Below are 26,513 nucleotides of genomic sequence, written 5' to 3' on the forward strand. Positions count from 1 at the left end.
TCAATCAAGAAGGCTGAACTGGCCAAGACCTGAAAGACCAATCTGTAAATACAACTCACAGAATTAGCCACAGAATAGAATAACTGGAGAGATAAACCAGCCCTATGCCAGGGCAGGTTGTAAGCACAGGTGATACGGTTCCCCCATGTATGTGCTTCCTAGACTGCAATGCCACTATCAGAGGCTACCTTTGGCATGAGGTCGCTGCATCTCCAGGAGTACTCAAAACTCAAAGCCTCCCTGCCCTGGAGAGGTAAGGATGTAAGTCAGTACTGGTCACCAACACCTTCAGGGGAATAAGTTTTTTTTATGGAAAATGAGAATGTTTTCAGAATGTGAAGAGGGAAGAAGCCTAGACTTCGTAGAGACTGAAAATGGGTTTGGATAGCCTGAAGACTCCTATTTTCCTGGGAAAAAGATATCCTCAAGGGAAGTAAGGACACTGAAAGAGATGGTTTAAGGCAACTGATTTCCCAACTTATCCTGGAACTGGTCTTATGTTTTCATGATGATCATAGCTTGTTTTAGGGGGCTGGTAATGATTTAATATATTTTTCCTTGTCTTCCCCACAAGGGAAAATATGATTATCATATTGGAGGGCCACTTTAAAAATGGAGTGTAGATTCATCTATTTGATTTCTTTGTGGTCAGTTAATCTCTGACTACATTCTTTGTTGGAGAGAATTATTGATTTAGCCAAGGTTAAATAGCTGGTAAGCGTCAAAGCCAAGAACCAATGGTCATCTGTTCTAAACATTCTCCTATGTGTTTACTAAGTGCTGGGCAAAATCCCTAAGATACGATGCAGCAGGCCAGCTGTGTAAGGTGAGGCCTTTGGGGATATCTTGATAGCCTATGATCATTACGTCATTCACACATTTGTCTAGATTTGGCTGGAAACTCTTTGTAGTTTAAACCTACGCTCAGGGTCAGCCCTTGACAAACAGTGAGATAGGTGACATTTGTCTTTAGAGCCTTGACAATGAAGTGAGTGCTGCTCACAACCTGACAAGCTGCACAGTATTACTTGTTACTTGGCAGTCCTGCTCCTTATTATTATTCTTTTCCTTCTCTCTTATCCCTTGCTATCCTTACCCTGTTCATGGCCTCCTTCTAGTCCCATTCTTTCCATTGTCTTTATTGGACCCTGCCAAGAGTAAAAGGAATCTTATCCAATTCATCCATTTGGAGAAGCTAATGACTTGATAAGATATTCAGCCAGTAAGTTTGCGTTTTGAAAGACCACAGTGGGGCCAGGTGCGGTGGCTCGTGCCTGTAATCCCAGCACTTTGGGAGGCCAAGGTGGGCGGATCACGAGTTCAGGAGATCGAGACCATCCTGGCTAACACAGTGAAACCCCATCTCTACTAAAAATACAAAAAGTTAGCCGGGCGTGGTGGCGGGCGCCTGTAGTCCCAGATACTCGGGAGGCTGAGGCAGGAGAATGGCGTGAACCCGGGAGGTGGAGCTTGCAGTGAGCCGAGATTGCGCCACTGCACTCCAGCCTGGGCGACAGAGTGAGACTCCGTTTCAAAAACAAAACAAAACAAAAAAACAAACAAAAAAAAGAAAGACCACAATGGAAGGGCAATGATAGAATTATAAGCATTCAGGGCAACTTGTAGGAGATGTCCTGGGGAAGGGAAAGACTGAATTCCAGTGATCACCTACGATGTCTTTGTAAGGCTGACCCTCCCAATAATACCTTTCCAACTTCAGTGCTAGGTACATTAGCAATCCACTTGTATCTGATTTTGTCTGAAAACTACCTGATGGAAGAGTCAAGGGATTTGGCTATTACATCTGTTCTGCCTGCGTCCGTAATATTCCTGGCTTTAGAAACTTCAATCCTGCCAGCCACAATATAGTGATTATTCTGACGTGGGCATTCTGCATTCCTAATGTCCAATGTGGTTCTCATAGTCTTTCTGGCTCATTGTAAGAAAAATAACTCCCATCTATTGAGCACTCACTGTGTCCCATGAGATCATTTAAGAGCTTGTTTCTTTCCACAATTCTGTGAAAGAGGGTCCACATTTTACAGACGAGAAAACTGAGGCTCAAACAAAGTGACTTGCCCAAGTTTCAATGGCTGGTAAATGGCAGCACCAGAATATGACCTCGGACTGTATAAGTAGATACGTGCTGACCTCTACTGCTCCCATCACAGCAAGTCTGACCACCCTGCATCTTTACCTGACAGTAGAGCAGTATTTCCTCTGCAGTTTCAAATTCTTTCCTTTGGGTCTGGAATGTTCTTACCCTTTAAAGTCATAGGGGATTATAACTGTAGAGAGCTCTGACCCTGGGGCCAGATTGCCTGAGTTAGAATTCCAGTTCAGCTACTTCATTTTCCCCTTGATTTCTTATTTAAAGTTTTAAATTTTAAAAGAGTCTGAGAAAAAAAATACTTTGGTTGTTGCTATGGACTTTTTTTTCAACTGTTTATGCCTCTACTAGAGCTGTGCACATGATGTTTTGTTTGGCGTCCCTTCATTTATTTTTATATAGTTCAATGTATTTCAAGGTCAGAAAGGGTGGCAAAAACTGGAGGAGGTGGGCACAAGGCTAAGAGGTGTGTTTATATTCTAAGAACAGTTATCATTGTTTAGTCTCTCCTAAGTGTCAGGCACTATGTTGGGGGCTTTATACATATTATCTTTCATCTTTTTTCTTTTCTTCTTTTTCTTTTTTCTTTTCTTTTTTTTTTTTTTTTGAGACAGAGTCTCACTCTGTCGCCCAGGCTGGAGTGCAATGGCGCTATCTTGGCTCACTGCAACCTCTGCCTCCTGGGTTCCAAGCGCTTCTCCTGCCTCGGCCTCCTGAGTAGCTGGGATTACAGGCACACGCCACCATCCCCAGCTAATTTTTTTTTGTATTTTTTGTAGAGACAGGGTTTCATCATGTTGGCCAGGCTGGTCTTGAAACTCCTGACCTCAAGTGATCCACCTGCCTCGGCCTCCCAAAGTGTTGGGATTACAGGTGTGAGCGACGGCGCCTGGCCTTTCATCTTTTTTTTTTTTTTTTTTAAATTAAATCCTTCATTGAAATATCTTTCATCTTTACAACAAATCTGAAAGCTAGATATTATTCCTCTGTTTAAAACTAAATGGACTGAGGGTTACAGAGGTTAAAAAATTTTCCCTGAGCTGATGATTTAAAGAGCAAGAAATAAACTGAAGCCTAACTGTAAAGCATATGATAATAACATTAAACAAATTTATGCACATCATTATTCATTAATACATTCATTAATATTTATTAATACGTTCTTGTAAAGATTTTTGAATGTGGTTGCATATGGAGTTAATCCTTCTTATTCCGCCCTTTTCTAAGGTATCTACTGAAACAAGTTTGATGTATATCTGGGAACTTTTTTCTGTGCACATTTGTAAACACACAATTATATAGACTTTTAACGTTATAAATGGGATTACACTATTCTTAATGCATGCTTACTTTCAATAAGTATTCCTAAAATCACTTCTTTTAAAAAAGCCTGTTTTTAATTTTTCTGGTGAATGCTTTGGATGTACCACAATTTATTGGAACATTCCCCAGTGGACAGACATTTAGATCGCTTCCAGTTTATCAGTAACAAAAAACAAAGATGCAAAGAACATGTTTGAACAGACTTGTGCCCTGTGTAAGTATTTCCCTGGGACAGAGTATGATGAGAGGTATGGTTGGGTACGTCTGCATCCTTTGGCGTGACAGACACTGTTCAGTTGGCCTTGGAAAGCGTGGGGTGGTCCATCCTCTGCTCTGTGTGCATCTCAACGAAAACTGAAGTTAGATGAACCAGGGCCTTGAATTTCTGATATCTACCTCCCTTTGACATTGCTGTTTCCAGTTTTTTGTTTTTTCTTCCCTCCAATCTCGTGAGTAGCTTTTCTCCCCCTTGGCTTTCTATTTCTGTCTGCCCCAGTATACGTATGGGGTACTCGTCCCTGCCTTTGAAGTATCAAATCACACAGCTATCTGACATATGCCCACAGTGGGGAGAGAGCCATCGTTCTCATGTTGATTGCTAAGGTTCCCAGAGTGCCCTTGAGGTATAAGAATCACTGGCACTCTCAGTTGGGACTGCAGATCCTGATGTATGATGAGTGGGGCAGAGTAGAGAGCAGAGATGGATGGAGCAGATGGTAGTACTGGCGGAAGGGCACAAGCTTTTTAATCCTCCACCTTTTAAAATACTCATTCACCTGGAGATGCCCTTGTATTTTACTTAAGGACAAAGATAGCAATCATCTGCTGAAAATGTGAATGTCTAACATGAAGGATTATAATGCACACAATGACTTGCATTTATGTCTCCAACTTTTAAGACACTTTGTTATTTTGGTAAATGAGAATGGCACATCATTTGAAATTGTCATCACTGATTTGATTCATTTTTTTTGTCTTTATGAAGAGCATGAATTAATAGTTTTCCCCTTTGCTGACATAAGATATTGTTTAAAAAATTACTTTAACTTGTCTAAATCTTGAGGACTGGTTTAATAAAGTATGATACATCTATAAAGAAGAATAATCTATAGCCAATGAAAGTCAGGACTCAGAATATTTAATGACATGGGAAAATGTTCATGATATATTGCTAGGCATTAAAAGCTGGTTAAAATGGTATGCCTAGTATGATCCCAGGTTTATAAAAAATACACATGCACAGAGAAAAGACTGAAATGTAATAAGAATGTGCAGTGCTTACCCTTGGGGAATAGAACTTCAACTGATTTTAAAACATTATTTGCAATTTTAAAAATTTGTAGAAATTTTTTTTCTACCATGAACATATATAGGCTTTTATAATGAGAGGAAGTAACTTGTTCTTAAAATTATTTTAACTGATTCCCTCTTGCCTTCCTGGGTATCTGAGAATCAGTTTTAAAAATATTAAGCACAGAGACATTTCTGTGAGATCACTGATGGCTGCTCTCCTTTTTCTGAGTCCACCAGGGAGGTGGGTGAGTCCCTGCCTTGTTTCTCCCCTTGGGTTTCACTGTTTCAGGGAGGTCCCTGATTGACATAAAAGTGTAAAGGCCTGACTGCCTGGGTTCAGCAGGGCTGGTTAGGTCCAGCTCCAGGGATCCATGCATCCGTCTAGAGCCCATCCTTGTGGGACTGGGGAGACCCTGTGGTTCCCAGAGAGAAGTACAGTAGGGCATGAGAGGGTAGAGGGGTGAAGCCTTGTAAGACTTCAGGGGAGGATCAGGGCCCCAGTCAAACAGTGTGGGGTTCTCAGAAGGGCTCAAGTCCCAGGGTGATCTGTTATTAGGCAGTGACTAAGCAGACCTTCCAGCTGGCAATTGAGATAAGCTAGGCCCAAAGACAGGCCCAACCAAGAATGGAGGGACTCAAGTGGCTCCCCACGTGCAGTCAGGGAAGGGAAGAAAAATGCACATTTCCTAAGTGCCCACCAGGTGGCAGACCCTTTCCTGTGCAACGAGTTGAAGAGTATTTTCAAGCTCGTCATGATACCCAGGTATTAAGAATCTGCACTGGGCTGGCAAGAACATAGAAGGCTGGGCCCCTCTCTAGAGATTCACTAGTCTGGGTGGGGCCTGAGAATCTTATTTCTACCAAGCTCCAGGTTCTCCTAGTGCCACTGATTGGTACTACCACACTTTCAGTAGCACTGGATATATCGTCTCAGACTGGGAAGGGAGGAGGAGGACAAGGAGTAGGATGTGGTCCTTATGGCTGAGCAATTGGTTCAAATTGTGATTAAAGTGCCAAGGAAGTGTGGCATGGAAAGAGCGGGTGTGGGTGGGTGGGGTGAGTTGCAGAAGGGAATGGGTCACTTGCTCCTGGTTAAAATAGCCTCTGATACTCCAGCAGATTCAACAGAGATCTGTTGTGAGATCTGCAACAGAATGTAAGGGCTCTTCCATAGCTCTCATTCTAATTAAATGTGTTACCAATTAATTCACTTAGGATGCTTACAGCAGACAGAAGCATAGGTATATGCAGGTTAAAATAAAAGCAGTAAGGCCGGGTGCAGTGGCTCATGCCTGTAATCTCACCACTTTGGGAGGCTGAGGTGGGTGGATCACCTGAGCTCAGGAGTTTGAGACCTGCCTGGCCAACATGGCGAAATCCTGTCTCTACTAAAAATACAAAAATTAGCTGGGCATGTGGTGCATGCTTGTAATCCCAGCTACTCAGGAGGCTGAGGCAGGAGAATTGCTTGAACCTGGGAGGTAGAGGTTGCAGTGAGCCGAGATTGCGCCACTGCACTCCATCCTGGGCAACAGAGCAAGACTCCATTTCAAAAAAAAAAAAAAAAAAAAAAAGCAGTATTCAGAACAAAATGAAAAACAAAACCTTAGATAGCTACCCAAAACCCTAAAGAAACAATATTTAGAGTACTATCAACTATTTGAAGTGAAAGACTATTTTAAAAATCTGGTCCATTATGGAGCAATACATGGTTCTACTGCACAGGACTTTTACATAGTTCAAACCACATGTGACTGACCAGGCAAGTTTGACAATCCCCAACTAACTGTCTATATCCTGTTCAGTGAAATGAATTCACTGATCATGCATTTGGATGCCAGTGGCAATGTCAAACTGCTATAAAAGTTCCTAAAGCTTACTCTCAGTTTCTGTATTTGCATCAATAGAAATGGTAATAACCACTTTGCAGAAGAGTGCCAGTCCCCAAACCACGCTTAGAAGTGCACTGGTCTAGCCTGGCTAGATGACTGATCTGGCAGATGGGCTCACTGCACAGCTTCAAGGAAGTCAATTTGTTCTTTGGATCCTGTTGTGCAGAATTAACTTTTGTATCCTCAGGACTATTTTGTTCGTATCATTTCTACATGGGGTCCTTGGAATAGGGCTAGTTGGATGTCCTTTTGGCCCTGCTGCCATTTTCTTATGCTTGGACATCAAGGGCAATATCCTGTATACAGTAGGCACTCAATAAACACCGATGAGTGAATGCATAGATTACTAGCCCAAGACTGAGATGTCAAGCATTCTTGTGGGATACACAGCCATCTAGGAAATAAATGCCCAACATGGATGAACATCAAAATATAACTCTCTTCATAGTAACTATATAGAGCTGACAAGCAGAGCAGATGGAGAACCAACTCTATAAGGAAAGACTGTATAATCTTGTTGCTGTCCTGGACTCACTGCTGCCTCACTCAACACATGTGCCCATTTTGAATGAATGGTATTTATAAGTTTCTTGGACCAAGATGACACAGGTTTCCTGGTGGCATTTTTATGCTGAACCAAGGCATTGCCTCATGCCTATGTCAAGGTGGACCCTGGTGGTTACTCTGGAAAACATGGGAGAGTTATTTTAGCTGTTTTCCTGTTAATATTAGGATCTTGAGGAAGGACTTTAATAATTTAATTATATTTTCTCATTACATCTCTGACTTTCAGTGAAAAAGAGTTGAATGAATGCAAAATAAATTATCAACTCTAACGTCCCTGAAGCCTCATGTCCTACCCCACATCTATCTGAAATTCTCCTCTTGCTTCATTTCTTACCAGGCTCACAGCATAGTTCAAAGTATTTATATGACTTAATAATGCATACCTAATAATAAGGATCACAATAATAATGACAGTTGCTATTCAGAGAGCACTATAAGTCAGGTACTTTGCTAAATGCTTAAATACATCATCTTATTTAATTGTATTAACAATCTTATAAGTTTGCTCAAGGACAGAAAGTAGAAAGGCTAGGATTCTAGCTCAAATAGATCAGTCTCAAATATTTGTGGTCTTAACCACTCTACTAAGCATCTTGTATTCAAACAGAGACTGTTTCCTTTTGCTTTTAAGATGCATAGATTTATTTTAAATGATTGATAGAGACATAGATGGACTCTATGAATGAATAAATGAATGAATATTGGTATCAATTGTGAGTGAATCAAATTGGGTTTATGACATTATTAGATCACAAGGATGCTAGAGTTTTCTGTTGGCGTTTCACCGTAAACTGACATGGTTTTAGTGCCAGCCCATACAATGTTGAGATACAATCTGGCCACATACGCTAAGAGTAAATCTCAATTGTATTGCAAACAAATGTATTTTGCGCACGCACACACGTGCACACACACACACACATACGTCCTACATCCTGACTCCTTTGAAAAACTTTATTTTGCTTTTTTTTCTATATAGCCCTTTCAATTTCTCAGATCTCCTCAAATATATATATATATATATATATATATGAGAGAAAGAGAGTCCAAATACAAACCTTTCCAAAGGGACATGTATAGTTTTGACTGCACTCAAATCAGAGCTCAGAACACTATTTCACTATTACTTTTGAATAACTCTATTTCCAACTGAAACACTCAATTTCCCAGGTAAACTGGTAATTCCCAGGAGCTTTCAAAGCATTTTCAGAAAACCTAAAAGACCAGTTCTTTTATATGAAGGATAAATATAATCATGTGTATATGTTCAAAGTAGAGCAGCTGTGTAAGTCCTTCATGCCTTGTAAATGGGAGTCTTTGCAAACTTTATTATGTTTTGGTATATGATTGTGAGATTTTCAAAACACAATTTAAAACTTTACCATGAGTCACAATCCTCAAAGAAAAACTAAATAGACCCCCCCTTTTCTTTTAAAAAAGAAAAACCACTAAACTGAAAAAGAATGGGAAATTAAATGAACTTAGACATTTAAAGATGCAAATTGATCTCTTGGACATTGAAAGACACAAATTGATTTAAGAAGCAAAGATTTTGGGGAGCCCTAAGACAATAAAGCGATCAGCACAAAGACATCTGTCAGGGTGGAGGCGACCTGAGGTAAAGAACAGTTAAATCTAATGCAATCAGGAACTTAGGCCAGTTTAATGTTTTTTTTGCCTTATGAGCTGACAACCTCCTAACACCATAATCTCTCCTTTCAGGATGATGACACAAGGATTTAATGAGTAGAAGACAACAACTTAAAACCTCTCATTTGAGCATGAATTGTCTAGGTTAAAGGTAGGCATTGAGATCCCATTAGCTACTGGCACACTTGGGAAAAGAAATGTACACATGCACAGACACACTTTAAAGCAAGACTTCATAAAAATACAGCGATGCCTGTTTCTACTCAGACCCAAAAATGGAATTAAAGCCAAAACTTACAACCCCTCTACTAATTAGAGAAGTAAAAATGTCTTCACCCCAAGTGTCCCAGCACAACGTGAAACCGAAACAAGCTGCCTTTCTTTGGATTCCACTTATTTATTTATGTTTAAAAGAATATTTGAAGAAAAGGACGCCTAGTAAAAGAACAGTTGGAGAAAACATGGGACACCATACATTGGAAGAGAAATGTAGATGAAGTACACAGCTACAACAGGGATATTTTTTTTCTTGTTGAAACACATGATAATGGGCTAATAAAAATCTGGTTACCTTTACATTTCTTCTCCTCCGTTTGGAAGGTCTGGGCACTTGAGACACTCTGGTCGTTCACATCATCATGGTCCAGATGGAATATTGAGCTAGTCCAAGTGGTCTGGATGAGATGTGGCGACGACTGTTCATTTTTCAACGTGCTGCGCCTCTCTGAATGGCTCTTCCTATGTAGGCAGGCTTCAGACATTCCTACTAGCTTCCAGTCGTGTTCTCGGTCTGGACAGTGCTTCGGTTTGTCCCAGGCTGTAAGGCCATTTTCTAAAGGGTTGAAAAACACGAGATGACGAGCTGTTGGCATTGTCAAGATTTTGCTGAGATGCAGAGTTTTGGAAGGCAAGTTGTTTCTCAATTCTTTTGGGCTGACAGTATTCACATGCCACTTGACGGGAGTGATAAGATGCAGAATTTGTCAGCCTTGGGCATTTAGCCACTGCAGTTGGGTTGCCTGTCGGAGTAATCAACACATTCCCCCTTATTTTAAATGCCTAGAAAGACATTAGTTCCTGCATGGCAAGGCTGTACTTTCGCCAGTCCCACTTCCACAGCAATGGCCCAGGAGCAAGTTTACACACCAATTTACGTTACTGCTTAGATGACCATTTGAGGTCTTGAGGGTCAGGGCTGGCCGTGAACACTTTTCAGATCCTTAGGACATAAAACACCCAGGATTCAGCCTTGTTTGACTTGGGTTTTATCACAAGCTGACCTGAGGGACACCCTGTTACTTAAGTGGGACGTGCTCACGTGGCCACACCGAGAGTGGCAACTCTGTTTTTACCACCTTCTACCTCTGATGGCCTACAAAAAGAAAAAAAAAAAAAGAAGGGAATCTTACAAATAGAAGTTTTGTAAAGGGCTTCAGTAGAGTCCCAAGTTGGCAATAAGAACCGATGAAGGAAAGCAGATAGTGCTTTAGGTGTGGGACAAATTAAGAGCCCTAATGATAGAATGATGAACTTAAATTCTTTGGAGTACAGCTGGTTAATTATTTATGTATATTATATATATTTTTTCTATTCAATTTATAGGGACTTGAGGGTCTGGCCTACAGAAAATGGGAAAAAATGTAATAATATGATGAAAAATTTCTGACACTAACCTTCCCTGGTGGCAAATTTTACTTCCTTAAATATCTTTACTGCACATGGATATAGAGAGCAAAAATGAGCAAGCTAATATATATATATATACATATTTGTATGCATGTTGTACACATTAAAAAAACAATCCATCTGGTCATCCATATTTTCAGAAATTCTTAAGCTACTGTTTGTCAAAATTAGAAAAAATATAATATAAATATGTGAGTCCTCCTTTTCAGAGTTTATATGGTCTTTTTAAAGTGATCATAATTCACAAATTTATATGTGAATTTTTTTTAACAGTGAAATTACGAGAAGACCATGGATACCCATATCCCTGGGGCTTAGAGAGACATGTCTATCCTGACCTGTGCACAGCACACTGAATTTTAAGCTGACTTTCAAACATTTAAAGTGAATTTTAAATTATTTAACATGAGGGTTAAAAATGCTTTAGGTTTTCATAAGCACCCTCTCGAAAGCTACCAGATGTCTTCAGCTAATGTTGGTTAGGATGGTTTCTCTAAAAGTGTAAATTACTCAGTCACTTTTGAAAGTTGCATTTACCCTTCCGGGTTTTCATATTACTATGAGAAAATGCCAATGCCCATGCACATTGTATTTCTACTCCAGGAGAAAACCATGAACAATAGTAACAAAGTAACAATCAACACACGATTCCTTTGTCATAGTAAATGGAAATGCTGTGGCTTGAAATAGCTTACTTTGGCCAGTAAGCAATAAGTCTCCTTTTAAAAATTGTACACTGTGCTAGCTTTTGGGTGTAACATTTGATCTTATTCAGAGAAGAGCTCTGAAAATTCACTGTATGCAAAGGGCTGTGCTAAGCATTGTATTAGGCACATTATATAAACATAGATTCTTCCTTTTCAGAGTTTATATGGCATTATTCATTGCATGGTAAATCAAAAAGGTGTGGACTTCTACCACTTTCGACTGTGCTAGCTACTGGTGCAATTACAGGCACTTATTCTCAGTAGCCATTAAAAGGCAACAACAGATTGAGATCTTGAAAGATCGTATTGCATTTCGAGCTAAACATATCCATGTGTAACTCATTCAAGTACCTTTATCCATAAGGGCTTGAGGTTTTTCATGAGCTAAATATAAAGTTACTGGGGGCAGGGGTTAATTCTGGGCCTAATGAGATTGATTTTATTTCTACAGACATGAAAATTCTTCTCAGCACACATGTTTTTATGGTGTCTGCTTTATTTTCAGATACTCTAAATCCTCAGCAAATTGCATCTCGCAAAGCTTAATTTAAATAAGGTTAAAGTTCTCAAACTATTTTGAAAAGCCTTTAAGATGTGATTTTTCTGCAGAAAATTCCTAAAATTTGGTATTAATTCCCTTGACCCCACAGAAATTAAGAAAAACAGCCAAACTGGGTAGTCATTACTCCCTAGGGAAACAATGCTTGGCTGAGAGATGCTAACAGGGGCTCCACTCCAAGAGGACATTGCCCCTTAAAGTGCAGCCTATTAAAGCTTGCTTACCATGTCCCTTGGGCCAGCAAGAAGGGGTTTTTTTCTAAGCAAGGAAGGCTACACTTGGGGTGAGGTAAGGGATAGGATTGCTTTCATTTTCCAAAGAAAAGCAGCTGAGATGGTTTGGGAAAAGGGCTTCATTCATGGGAGGCAATTACAAGCTCATAATTACTGTCTGTAATTACATTCGTAATAATGATATTCAGTTGCTTAACTGGCAGGTTTATTGGTTGGGGCACTGCTGGGAAACCTGGAGACTGAGAAGTCCCGGTTGGGTCATGAGAAAACTCAACAGGAATTTATTTAAGGAGGATTCTTGATTCTGATCCTCGCAAGAACAGAGGGGCAACATGCAATTCCTATGCCATTCCCAAGGAAGGATGAGACTCCCATGACACTGGGGTCCTTGAATTCTACCTACTGGATATACTGTTGTTGGTGAGAACTGCAAGTTACCTCCACATACCTGTGGTTGGCAATAATGGTCTTCAGTAATTTCCTATGTCTAATGCCCATATCCTTTTGTTCCTTCAAAGCTCACACAAATGGGATATTTCTTTTTAGGGAGATTAACATCCCAAAAGGTTAAGTCAGTGATTCTCAAAGTTTGATGTGTATCAGTATCACCTGAGGCACTATTAAACAACACTGAAGACCAGGCTTTTTGAAATTTGGATAGGGTGTGGGCATGCATAGATCTATCAAGTTCTCCAGGTGATTCTGATACCCAACAGAGTTTGAGATCCACAGGGTTAAGATAAATTTAAGGTAAGAAAATAAATTAGTGACAGATTTTGAATAAGCGTGTAGTTTCTTCAGACTCCAATATTTTACACAACCTCAGAGTAAATTTTCATTATCATTCAAAAAGTCATCCATTGTTTTGAGGTCTACTGAGTGACGCCTTAAAAGTCAGGTGTTAATTAGATATTATCTTGTAGATTGCAGGTATGGATGTAAATAAGTATTTACTCAGATTGCAGGTATGGATGTAAATAAGTATTTACTCAAAAAGCCTGTTGTCACTTGGAAAACAGTGTGGAGATTCCTTAAAGAACTAAAAGTGGGTCTACCGTTTGATCCACCAATCCTACTACTAGGTATCTACCCAGAGGAAAAGAAGTCATTATATGAAAAAGACATTTGCACACACATGTTTATAACAGCACAAATTGCAATTGCAAAAATATGGAACCAGCCCAAATGCCCATCAATCAACTCATGGATAAAGAAAATGTGATATATATGTATACACCATGGAATACTACTCAGACATAAAAAAGAATGAAATAATGACATTCATAGCAACCTGGATGCAAGTGGAGACTATTATTCTAAGTGAAGTAACTCAGGAATGGAAAACCAAACATCATACGTTTTCACTCATGTGTGGGAGCTGGGCTATGAGGATGCAAAGGCATAAGAATGATACATTGGACTTTGGGGACTTCAGAAAGGGTCAGGGTGATGAGGGATAAAAGACTACACATTGGGTACAGTGTACACTGCTCAGGTGGTGGGTGCACCAAAATCTCAGAAATCACCACTGAAGAACTTATTCATGAAACCAAACACCACATGTTCCCCAAAAACCTATTGAAATAAATAAAAAATTAAAAATAAAAGCCTGTTGTTCTGAGCATTATCTGGGACACAATGCACACAGTAGTAGAAGTAATATTTTTTTTTAAAAAACGAGCATTCTAGAAACGATCATATCTTGTTATTCATATAAATTATGAACCGTTTACTCTTTAATGAATCCCAGCTAACATCTGGCTTTCAATACTTCACATTCTAGACATCAACACAATTAATCAATTTAATTAGTTATGGTGAATTAAAAATAAGTAGAACAAAATAAAATAATAACTAGATAGGGACATGTGAACTGCATTGGCTTGTGTGTCTCAAGGGAGTTTAGGCTTGAATGATTAGGTTTGCATTCGATGACCATCATTCTGATGGCTTTGATTGACACAACACTGATCCAAAGTGTTCTTTTGCAAAAGAGAAACAAACATAAATCGCATTAACATAACTACTTACATCCTATCTCTGGATATTTCATTAAAGATGATAGAAAATAAATCTGTCCATCAAAGAAGGGAGAATTAGATTAAAATATTCAAGTATTTCAGGACACAAGAGCGAGCTGATACCTTAGAAAAGAGCTAAAGCAAAGGAAATAGGATTATGACAAAGTGGTCAGAAGGGGTAAGCTGCGTAGGCTGGGATTTCATGGCACTCATTGCAAGAGTTTAGCTTGCATTAAAAGGCCATTAATATTAGGTACTGAGACTGACTGCAAACCATATTCTGCATTAGGGGTGTGTGTATAAAACGTGCTTTGTAAACCCAGAGAGTGTGTAGAATTATCATTGTGTAGCATCAGACTATTAGGTATGAAGCCTCAAATTTCCATTTTAATTTTTTTACTTCAACCCATAAGGTTTAGCCTTGCTGAATTCTCAGACTATGTACGCCTCAACTGATTTTTTTTTAGAATCGTGCAGGACAGGAGAATAATGTTTGGTTGAGCATTTACTATGAGCCAGGAACTGAGCTAGACACTTTATCTTCACAAACATCCAGGGAATATATACTGCTTAACTGACAAGGAACCTAAAATTAAGAGAAGCACTTCACCTGCTCCTCTTTGCCTTTTGTGCTATTAACCGATATGTTCTCCTTATCGCCCTTAGTTTGATGAGTAGTAATTGACCTATTAATAGCTATTGTTTTATTTGTGCTTTGAAAGTTCTTTAGAAATTGTACTTACTACCTCATTTAATTTTCCTGTTACTCATTTATATTCATAACAAGTCTCCTTGCTTTTGCTCTCAGCCACTTATAATCTATTTTCCACAGAGCAGCCAGAGTGAGCATTTAAAAGTATAAATAAGAGTGTATTTCTCTGGTTCTTAAAATAATCTGATGACTTCCCACCAATATTAGAATAAAATCTTCAGGCCTTACAGTGGCCTCAAGGCCCCACTGAGCCTCCCTCTGGCTGAGCTCCTCACCCATGGCTCTGCCCCCTTCTCTCTATCCTCCAGCCACATGGGCTGCCTCTAACATAGGAAGCCCATTCCCACAGCAGCATCTTGCAGAAGCTCTTTCCTATGCTGCAGTGCCCCTGTCCAAATCCTTATATCACCAGCTCCCTGTCATTGAGGTTTGAGGGAGGCCTTTCCTGACCAGCTCTCCAACCATTTTCTCTCTATCATCTTACTTTAGGTTCTTCATCATACTTGTCACCAATGGGAACTGTTTTGTCTGTCCTCACTGGAAATGTAAGCATGACAGAAATAGGGATGAGCACTGTTGTGGTCATTACTGTGTCTCTAGCACTTGCAAAAGAGCCTTATGAATAACAGGTGCTTGGCAAAATTTGTATGGGGGTGGGGAATGTGGACAGAATTATCATCCCTGTTTTACATGTGTGGAAACTGAATTTAGAAAGTGATGTGGATGTACATGATGGAACTGGACTCAAACCCAGGTCTTCTGACTCTAAAACCTGACCTGACCTTCTATAGTTCAGTTAAAGTTGCTTCTGGTTGCCAAGGACTGTAAACTTTGACCTAGTCCAGAAGCCATTTGAAGGAATGGCTCATCCCTTATATTTCTTGGTAGCCTCGTGAGAGGTGGTCATTAGAGAGGCCAAAAAAATAAAAATAAAAATAAAAAAAGTTGCTTCTGGAACTTTAGAGATGTGGGTTTTCTGTAAAATGGGAATATACTATTGTTTTGATGACCAAATAGGTTTATATATAAAAAGGTCTTAGAACAGTGTCCTGCACATTGTAAGCATGCACTAATTGTAAGTTCTTCACTTATGCATCCACATGACCTCTCTTCCCTTGCCTTACTCTCCAAACTCTTCTCCTCTAAACATGATTTTTAAAGAGCATTCCCCCCACCCCAAAAAAAAGAATTTCATAAATGACTCCATACCACTATATTAATGGCTAAGAACCTGGGATGAGTCACCTCACAGCAGAAGTTGTGTTTTAAAGAGGATGCCTGGAAAGCATTGGGCCATGGCCCAAGGAATGTATCTCTAAAATTGGATTCCTAGATTCTGTGCAAGGCAAATGGGAGAAGAATTTTGGTGAAGTGAGCATTTCCTGTTAGGTTTGCCTGACCATCATTTTATCTGGCTTGATTAGCTTGGTAGCTCAAATAACATAACAATGAAGACACACATTTGATCCTTACTCAACCTTCAAGGTCTAGTTCATCATTTAAGCTTTCTTGAAGCAATCCATCCACCCTCCAAACTTCCATCCCACTTTCCATGTATCTCTCTCCTCCATGTGCTACCTTCTACCTTGTGATATATCCATTTACATACATGTATATAATTTTCTTAACACTCATAGTGGCTAGCACAACATCTGAAGTAATATTTATTGTCCTCTCATAACTTTGCAAAGAGAAAACTATTTCCTAGGCACATAATCCAGTAACTTTGCAAACACAAAACTATTTCCTAGGGACATAATTCATGCCCAGTTTCTTATCCAAAAGCCACTGGTCTGCTAGGAGGACTCATCATTACAAGCAATTCAATATGGACTACCAATAGGATTGTTCTCCCAGAAGTGCTGGTGAAAATGAAACCTATTTTGCTTTTCAGAGGCAGGAAAAGATAGTGGGTAAGAATATGGGCTCTGCTTGCCAAGGTTCAAATTCTGACTCTGCCATATATTAGCTGTGGTTTGGGGCAAATTGCTCTACCTCTTTGAATCTCTCTCCTGAATTATCCATAATATTTGTCTATGTCTCTTCTATAAGGCAAGAACTTACCATGTCCTCCTTGTATCATGTAAATGGTACATGCGCCCTTTTCCCTCTTATTGGACTCTAATCAATGTATCCATCTCTTAATCTCCACAGGTCTAAGCACAATGCTATAACATGATGGGACCTCAATAAATATTATTTGGAAATAATTGAACATAATAAGAACAGATCAAAATACCCCGAAACTGAACAGAGCACATACAGGTTTTTATTCATTTAGGAATTTCTATTTACTGAGCAATAATGTGCTCTATGCAAGGCAGAGTCAGCCATAACTGGTTAGCATCAAAGTTCTGCAACAAAAGGCAGCTCAGCCATCAACAGATACTGTAGCATAGCCTTAGACAAGCTCTGTGAGCAGGGAAGACAGAAAGGGCAGCTAGATGGCTTTATTCTTCCTTGTCCTCAGGCTGTGTAAACCAACCGTGTTTTTACTTTGGCATTTGTATCGGATGCCGGAGCTGGTATCTCAAGGCCATCTTTCTAAGACCTCTGAAACACTGACTTAATCGGTTAGTCCACTAACATCTGGGATGGGGTGAGCTGGTCACCAGAGGGCAGGCTCCTGGCTTGTGTTTCCCAGTGCCTTTGAATCTACCCAGGTGGCTTTGCCTGGCCTGGGAACTTTTAACAGTAGCCTGAAGCTGCAGTGCCTGCTCGCTTCCATTTATGTAGGTCTCTGCAGGAACTCTGCCCCAGCTGATGCCATGAGACTTGTAAATTTGGAATATTCGGACAAGGGAGGAGAGACATCTCCAAAATAGTGAAAAGTTAAATTGTTGGCTGTTTCTAAAGGAAATCTGCTATTACTACATTCAAGAATTGCTATGGAAGCGTTATAGGTTATAGGACCTCACAGTGTTGGTGTGAAAGTACTTCACAATGTTGATGTGAAGAATACATGAGCCAACACATGGACAAGGTCTAGCCTTGTGCAGAAATACAGTAAGTGTTCAAAGTGTCTCCCCCCGCCCCCCCCCCCCCCTTTTTTTTTTAACTACTAGTAATTACAGAGACCAAATCCACAATTCTCAACTGGTGGGAAGGAGCCTGTAGGATCTATTCTCATGCTTCCCCTTTCTCTCAATTTACACGAACATTCTGGACTCTCCCAGCTCAGTTTCAGTCCTATCCACACAGCTTTCCCTTACTATTCCAGTCTGTGGTGAGTTCTTTTTCCTTTAAAATACATTTCTTATTTATTCTAAGCTCATGCAATCATGATCATTTCTGAGCTCTTGTTGGTGTATGTTAGTGTTCCCAAAATGAAGACTTAGATAGCTCTTGAGACTGTGAACAGATCCTACTTTGGTATTCTCAACAATTTAAGCCTGCAAAATGGAGTGAAATATTCTGGTCATTGTTAGACTCATGGAGGCATGGGTCATAGCTGGGGAGGGTGTGTCTTCCTGGCCACTGGCTCCTAAGGGAATTGAGGATAGAGTGGATGAGAAAGGGAGGGAACCATATTCATTATTTTGTACAAGGTAGCTGAAGGGCATAATCATAATAATGTTAGTGATAGCTCAGATTTATGGAGCATTTATTTAAGTCAGGCTACATAGACTAGGCTCCATAAATTAAAATTACTACCAACTGAACACCTACTACATGCCAGATAGCATCCGAAAGTACTTTTCATACATTATTTTATCTAACTCAGATAATGTGTTTTGATATCCCTAATCAGGGTGCACTCATCTCAAGAAGAACTCTGCTGCTTCACTCCTGAGACTTGATCAATACGGTCTGCTGAGGCCCATGTTCAACTTTTGTCCGGTTACATAAACTATGCCTTCAGAATATCTTCTTTTAGGCAAAGTCTTGCAAAATTAGCCTCTTTGTTCAAGTACGCTGCCTTTCATTGCTAAATGGTTTTGTCTTTCTTTTACTGAGCACCTGCCTATTAATTTTCTCTCTTGTTGAGACTGGGCTTTTCTGTCCCCGTGTGCAAGTGAATTTAAGTTTGCTATCACAGAGTGCTTCTCCTATTTCATTGGTGGGGATTATCAGTCCATTAAGTGGGTGAGATTTGGGAGCTGTTAGGAGATAAACAAATCTTTTCCTTATCTGGCTGCTCCCACTTCTCTGGTTTTCCTGTATATTCCATTAGGCAATCACTATCCTAATGAAAAACAATCATCATGACTGCAGAAACCTGAAATAATTACTCTGAAACTAAAAAGTACAATGATTGATAATCTTTTGATAAATGAAAACCATTAAAACAATTTTAAAGTTTGTGTTTATAACATTTATAGAGGATGCTTATTAATCTGAAGTGCAGCCTGAAACAAAACTAAAAAGCAAAACAAAACAACGTGTGTTCAAAGACCATGGTGTAAATGTCATTTGGCTGCATGAAAACATGGCGGTGACCAGGTTCATAGGCAACATCTTACAATTATTTAACCACATAGGAACAAGCTGACTGCTGAACACTGACCAGAGGCCCTGAGCACTGGGAAAATACTTTCCGGAGGACACAATGGAATCCTCCCCCAGGAATGGTCATTTGATTTTCCATAATTCATACCGGATTTAATCAGAGAGTCCTTAGGTTGGATGACTCAAACTTTGAGGTAATTACTCTAAAGGCCACAGAGATTCCATTTAGGATATTAGAAAAGCTACAGTGGTTGCAGAAACATTCATATTAACGAGCCACAAATGCACATAAAAGGGAACAGATGTTTACTGCTAGGATTAGGTTTATCCTGTGCAAAAGTTCAGAGCATAATGTTTATTCTTGATGCCAGTCTGAACCCACATTTTTCAAAAAAACCCAAGATATCTTTATGAGACTCGCCCCATTTTATGCTCCCAAACATGAAATACCCCTTTTCAGGGTAGAAAATACACGTGAATCTTTTCTGACTTTGGAAACTAGGACTAGGGTATGATTTGTGGACAAAAATCAAAACTTAAGATTTATAATTTCTCAAATAAAAGACAAAATATGACTTGGGTAATTAGATCAATGGTATACATCACCCTGTAAAAATCTCAGTACTTGGCAGCAAAACACCCATATTCTTTCAACAGATTACTCTCAGGGATTAACAAAATCCACACAAATATATGCTAGTGTTAGCAGAGTAACATATAGGTCCTCCTCTGGGTTTTCATAGAATCTCACTACAATTTCCCACTTTGTTTGGTACCCAGGTGAGACTAATTTTCAATTTTTATGTGTAAAAAAATAAATAGGATCAAGATCATGGCAGATAGTTTTTAGGGAAGAGACATTTCAATCTGGAAAAGTTTGGTTTTTTCTTTGGTTCAGGAATAGAAGCACTGCCACAGCATGCACAGCTATCTTCTTGGTTATAATAGCAGGTGAGGTTTTTACACTGGTGAGATCTCCTTGAGAGCAGGCGCTTTTGGGATATTTTCAGGTCCACAGAATACTTTTAAATACACCAAAAACATATTTTATGAAATGGGCCTTAGTGGTATGACTTAAGTACCTGCAGGGTATGTAATGCTCCCCTAGGAGGGTCTATTTTAGCACCTGTATCTCACTGATACAGTCCCAACAGTAAAGAGGGGAGAATTAAATTGTCTTCTACGTGCCTGTCTTGTGGAAGATAATTTAGAACTGCAGATGGGTCAAATTGCTTGGTGTAATCTATTCTATGATTTTTTTTTTTTAAGTTTAGGAAAATGAAGAGAAGCAGGTAGGGTTTTGACTGTCTTTTCCATATCTTCCTGTTATTTTTCCCCTGAAACATTTCAATTTCTTAAATTAGAGTTGGCGAGGTTGGGGCTGGAGAGGGGGTCTGGCAGTGAGTTCCTGTAGGCCTGCTTGATCTCTACTGCTTGATCTCTACTTGGGTCAGGTGTGCCCCCTGCCTCCTCCATGCTCAAATGGCTTGTGAATATCTACGGCCCTGTTACTCAAAGTGCAGTCTAAGGACCTGCAGCATCAGCATCTCCTGGGAATTTGTTAGAAATGTGGGATTTCTGCCTCCAGAACAGGTGAATCACAATCTGCATTTTAACAAGATCCCCATGTGACTCACATGCACATTAATGTTTGAGACATTCTGTTCTAGGGGCACAGTCTCCATATAAAGTAGACAGAATTTGTTAAACATGTGGTTACCCAAGTGAAATGTTGGTGGGATTTAACATATACCACATAGTGATAAGAGCCATGATTTTCCTATTCAGAAATCAGAGGGGAAAGTAGTAGTTGATGAATTGTAGGTTAGGGAAATTATACATGCAGAAATTAAAAGACAGTGTATTTGATGTCTTTATTTCCTAAGTGGTTAGTTTGGTAAATTTGGTTCATAAAATGGAAAAATCCAAACACCAAGATTTCAGATTATACTTCCATTTTTTTTTGTCGGTTTCTCCTCTAAAGACAGCCAACAAAATAATAAAAGCAATAGCTAACATTTTATTTATGCTTACTATATGTTAGGCACTCATTTTGATCAGTTTTCATTTAATTTTCATGATAACTCTATGAAGTAGACTGTTATTCTCATTTTTTGTATGAGGAACCTGGAGCACAGAGAGGTTAAACAACTTGCCCAAGATCACACAGTGGATAAATGACAAAATCAGAATCCAGGCCCAAGTAGGATTAGCTGAGCATGCGACACCCTTTATGGGAAGTCAACACTGGAGGGCTTAGATGATCATCTCAGGCAAACAAAAACAAAAACTAAATTCCATGGGCTGAAATATGGCTCAGAGAGGTCACATTCTTGCTCAAAGTGACTGAGATGGAGGAAGAGCTGGGATGAGTCTTGTGATTCTTCATCCCATAATCTTTTAATTGAAAACATACGTTTTTGGTATACAACAAAAATTCATTGCTCAATCTCAATGCTGTTTCAAATTCTGATATTTGAACCCTACACCTCAAATACTAAGAGCTGTTTTTGTAATTAAGACTCCTTTTTTTCATCTAGTAAATTAACCAAACAAGAGACAGCTGTGCAAGGAAGCATTCTGTTTCCCATACTGGTTGCTGATGATGATTTTTAAAAAGGTTAGTATTTATGACCGGCTCTGCCTCCAAACGGCCAAACTTAAAAAGATGGCAAAAACAAAGCAACCAAGGTCATGAAGAATCAATTTGTTTCTTAGCTGCCATCTAGAAGGTTAAAAAGCTGCCAAATCATTTAGAACTGACAAAAGGATAATTTTGAGTTTATGATACTGAGCGTCAATGCCTATAGAGGGCCTACTATGTGCCATTTCATTTACTGTTTCATTTACTCACTACAACAACATTGTGGAGGAGATGCTGTGATTAGCCCCATTTTACAGATGAGAAAACCTTGGCTGAGAGAGCAAAAGATGTTACCCAAACTTACAGATAGTAAATAGGTAGCTACTTTCATAACACCTTTGCTATCTTCTACAGGTGAGGCAATTGGAGCCCACAGAGATAAAGCATTTGTCACAGTCACAAAAGTAATTTAAGGGGAAGTGCTGCACTTGGAATCTTCCTCAGGATGGGTCAACTGGCCTGATGGCAAATGGGAACTCTTGTAATTACTATGGGCCATTTCGGCAGGACTATTGCTTTGAGAGAGGTTCATCTATTTCCTTAGCAAAAACCACTTCAAGAAGCAAAATCTCTCCTGGAAAATGAATGGAGGAAAGGGCATTTTTCTTTAGAAGCCCAGCCGGGCGCAGTGGCTCATGCCTGGAATCCCAGCACTTTGGGAGGCTGCAGTGGGTGGCTCTCTTGAGCTCAGGAGTCCAAAACCAACCTGGGCAACATGGCAAAACCCCATCTCTACCAAAAATACAAAAAATTAGCTGGGTGTGGTGGCACACACCTGTGGTCCCAGCCACTTAGGAGGCTGAGGTGGGAGGATTGCTTGAGCCTGGGAGGTGGAGGTTGCAGTGAGTCACTGCACTCCAGCTTGGGTGACACAGTGGGACCTTGTCTCAAAATTTTAAAAAAGCATATAAAGGACATTATGTCTAAATGAATAGGGTTGTCTCATTTCACCCATGGAGCAATAGTGTCTGAACACTGATGTTTGGGAAGTTGAGAGACATAAGTTTTGGGGCGGTTCTCAGATGGCTGAATAGGAACAGCTCCAGTCTACAGCTCCCAGCATGAGCGACGCAGAAGATGGGTGATTTCTGCATTTCCAACTGAGGTACCAGGTTCATCTCACTGGGGCTTTTCGGACAGTGGGTGCAGGAGAGTGGGTGCAGCCCACTGAGTGTGAGCCGAAGCAGGGCAAGGCATCACCTCACCCGGGAAGCACAGGGGGTCAGGGAATTCCGTTTCTTAGCCAAGGGAAGCTGTGACAGACGGCACCTGGAAAATCAGATCACTCCCACCCTAATACTGCACTTTTCCAATGGCCTTAGCAAACGGCACACCAGGAGATTATATCCCACGCCTGGCTTGGAGGGTCCCACGCCCACGGAGCCTTGCTCATTGCTAGCACAGCAGTCTGAGATCAAACTGCAAGGTGGCAGCAAGGCTGGGGGAGGGGCACCCGCCATTGCTGAGGCTTGAGTAGGTAAACAAAGCAGCCGGGAAGCTCGAACTGGGCGGAGCCCACCACAAGCTCAAGGAGGCCTGCCTGCCTCTGTAGACTCTACCTCTGGGGGCAGGGCATAGCTGAACAAAAGGCAGCAGAAACCTCTGCAGACTTAAATGTCCCTGACAGCTTTGAAGAGAGTAGTGGTTCTCCAAGCATGGAGTTTGATATCTGAAAACAGACAGACTGCCTCCTCAAGTGGGTCCCCGACCCCTGAGTAGCCTTACTGCGAGGCACCCCCCAGTAGGGGCAGACTGACACCTCACATGGCTGGGTAACCCTCTAAGACAAAGCTTCCAGAGGAATGATCAGGCAGCAACATTTGCTGTTCAGCAATATTTGCTGTTCTGCAGCCTTCACTGCTGATACCCAGGCAAACAGGGTCTAGAGTGGACCTCTAGCAAACTCCAACAGACCTTCAGCTGAGGGTCCTGACTGGTAGAAGGAAAACTAACAAACAGAAAGGACATCCACACCAAAAGCCCATCTGTACGTCACCATCATCAAAGACCAAAGGTAGATAAAACCACAAAGATGGGGAAAAAACAGAGCAGAAAAGCTGAAAATTCTAAATATCAGAGCTCCTCTCCCCCTCCAAAGGAACACAGCTCCTCACCAGCAATGGAACAAAGCTGGTTGGAGAATGACTCTGACAAGTTGAGAGAAGAAGGCTTCAGACAATCAAACTTCTCTGAGCTAAAGGAGGAAATTTGAACCCATCACAAAGAAGCTAAAAACCTTGAAAAAAGATTAGACGAATGGCTAACTACAATTACCAGTGTAGAGAAGTCCTTAAATGACCCGATGGAGCGGAAAACCATGGCGCAAGAACTACGTGACGAATTCACAAGCTTCAGTAGCCGATTCGATCAACTGGAAGAAAGGGTATCAGTGATTGAAGATCAAATGAATGAAATGAAGCAAGAAGAGAAGTTTAGAGAAAAAAGAGTAAAAAGAAACGAACAAAGCCTCCAGGAAATATGGGACTATATGAAAAGACCAAATCTACATCTGATTGGTGTACCTGAAAGTGATGGGGAGAATGGAACCAAGCTGGAAAACACTCTGCAGCATATTATCCAGGAGAACTTCCCCAACCTAGCAAGGCAGGCCAACATTCAGATTCAGGAAAGACAGACAACACCACAAAGATACTCCTTGAGAAGAGCAACTCCAAGACACATAATTGTCAGATTCACCAAAGTTGAAATGAAGGAAAAAATGTTAAGGGCAGCCAGAGAGAAAGGTCAGGTTACCCACAAAGGGAAGCCCATCAGACTAATAGCAGATCTCTCGGCAGAAACTCTACAAGCCAGAAGAGAGTGGGGGCCATTCAACATTCTTAAAGACAAGACTTTTCAACCCAGAATTTCATATCCAGCCAAACTAAGCTTCATAAGTGAAGGAGAAATAAAATCCTTTACAGAGAAGCAAATGCTGAGAGATTTTGTCACCACCAGGCCTGCCCTACAAGAGCTCCTGAAGGAAGCACTAAACATGGAAAGGAACAACCAGTAGCAGCCACTGCAAAAACATGCCAAATTGTAAAGACCATCGATGCTAGAAAGAAACTGCATCAACTAACGAGCAAAATAACCAGCTAACATCATAATGACAGGATCAAATTCACACATAACAATATTAACCTTAAATGTAAATGGGCTCATTGCTCCAATTAAAAGACACAGACTGGCAAATTGGATAAAGAGTCAAGACCCATCAGTGTGCTGTATTCAGGAAACCCATCTCATGTGCAGAGACACACATAGGCTCAAAGTAAAGGGATGGAGGAAGATCTACCAAGCAAATGGAAAACAAAAAAAGGCAGAGGTTGCAATCCTAGTCTCCAATAAAACAGACTTTAAACCAACAAAGATCAAAAGAGACAAAGAAGGCCATTACATAATGGTAAAGGGATCAATTCAACAAGAAGAGCTAACTATCCTAAATATATATGCACCTAATACAGGAGCACCCAGATTCACAAAGCAAGTCCTTAGTGACCTACAAAGAGACTTAGACTCCCACACAATAATAATGGGAGACTTTAACACCCCACCGTCAACATTAGACAGATCAACGAGACAGAAAGTTAACAAGGATATCCAGGAATTGAACTCACCTCTGCACCAAGCGGACCTAATAGACATCTACAGAACTGTCCACCCCAAATCAACAGAATATACATTCTTCTCAGCACCACATCACACTTATTCTAAAATTGACCACATAGTTGGAAGTAAAGCACTCCTCAGCAAATGTAAAAGAACAGAAATCACAACAAACTGTCTCTCAGACCACAGTGCAATCAAATTAGAACTCAGGATTAAGAAACTCACTCAAAACCGCTCAACTACATGGAAACTGAACAACCTGCTCCTGAATGACTACTGGGTACATAACAAAATGAAGGCAGTAATAAAGATGTTCTTTGAAACCAACGAGAACAAAGACACAACATACCAGAATCTCTGGGACACATTTAAAGCAGTGTGTAGAGGGAAATTTACAGCACTAAATGCCCACAAGAGAAAGCAGGAAAGATCTAAAATCGACACCCTAACATCACAATTAAAAGAACTAGGAGAAGCAAGAGCAGACACATTGAAAAGCTAGCAGAAGGCAAGAAATAACTAAGATCAGAGCAGAACTGAAGGAGATAGAGATACAAAAACCCTTCAAAAAATCAATGAATCCAGGAGCTGGTTTTTTGAAAAGATCAACAAAATTGATAGACTTCTAGCAAGACTAATAAGAAAAGAGAGAAGAATCAAATAGATGCAGTAAAAAATGATAAAGGGGATATCACCACCCATCCCACAGAAATACAAACTACCATCAGAGAATACTATAAAAACCTCTACACAAATAAACTAGAAAATCTAGAAGAAATGGATAAATTCCTGGACACATACACCCTCCCAAGACTAAACCAGGAAGTTGAATCCCTGAATAGACCAATAACAGGCTCTGAAATTGAGGCAATAATTAATAGCCTACCAACCAAAAAAAGTCCAGGACCAGACGGATTCACAGCCGAATTCTACCAGAGGTGCAAGGAAGAGCTGGTACCATTCCTTCTGAAACTATTCCAATCAATAGAAAAAGAGGGAATCCTCCCTAACTTATTTTATGAAGCCAGCATCATCCTGATACCAAAGCCTGGCCG

At 40.3% G+C, this 26,513-nt stretch overlaps 1 protein-coding gene and 1 long non-coding RNA gene across 54 annotated transcripts in view; one reads left to right on the plus strand and one right to left on the minus strand.

The window, feature by feature from the left end:
- The window catches only part of THRB-AS2 (THRB antisense RNA 2), a 38,633-nt gene extending 29,344 nt beyond the window's left edge, over positions 1–9,289 (plus strand). The window contains exon 4 of the long non-coding RNA NR_121667.1: positions 8,908–9,289. This is a non-coding gene — a long non-coding RNA (THRB antisense RNA 2). The remainder of the gene's footprint in view (positions 1–8,907) is intronic.
- THRB (thyroid hormone receptor beta) overlaps positions 1–26,513 on the minus strand; it is a 378,556-nt gene that overhangs the window by 63,515 nt on the left and 288,528 nt on the right. For all 53 annotated transcript variants that reach the window (NM_001374822.1, NM_001374823.1, NM_001374824.1 and 50 more), the window contains one exon: positions 9,407–9,667. In NM_001374822.1, coding sequence (NP_001361751.1) covers positions 9,407–9,667 — 261 coding nt within the window. The remainder of the gene's footprint in view (positions 1–9,406; positions 9,668–26,513) is intronic.

The sequence above is a fragment of the Homo sapiens genome, chromosome 3 (assembly GCF_000001405.40).
Source record: "Homo sapiens chromosome 3, GRCh38.p14 Primary Assembly".
NCBI classification, from domain to species: Eukaryota; Metazoa; Chordata; class Mammalia; order Primates; family Hominidae; genus Homo; species Homo sapiens.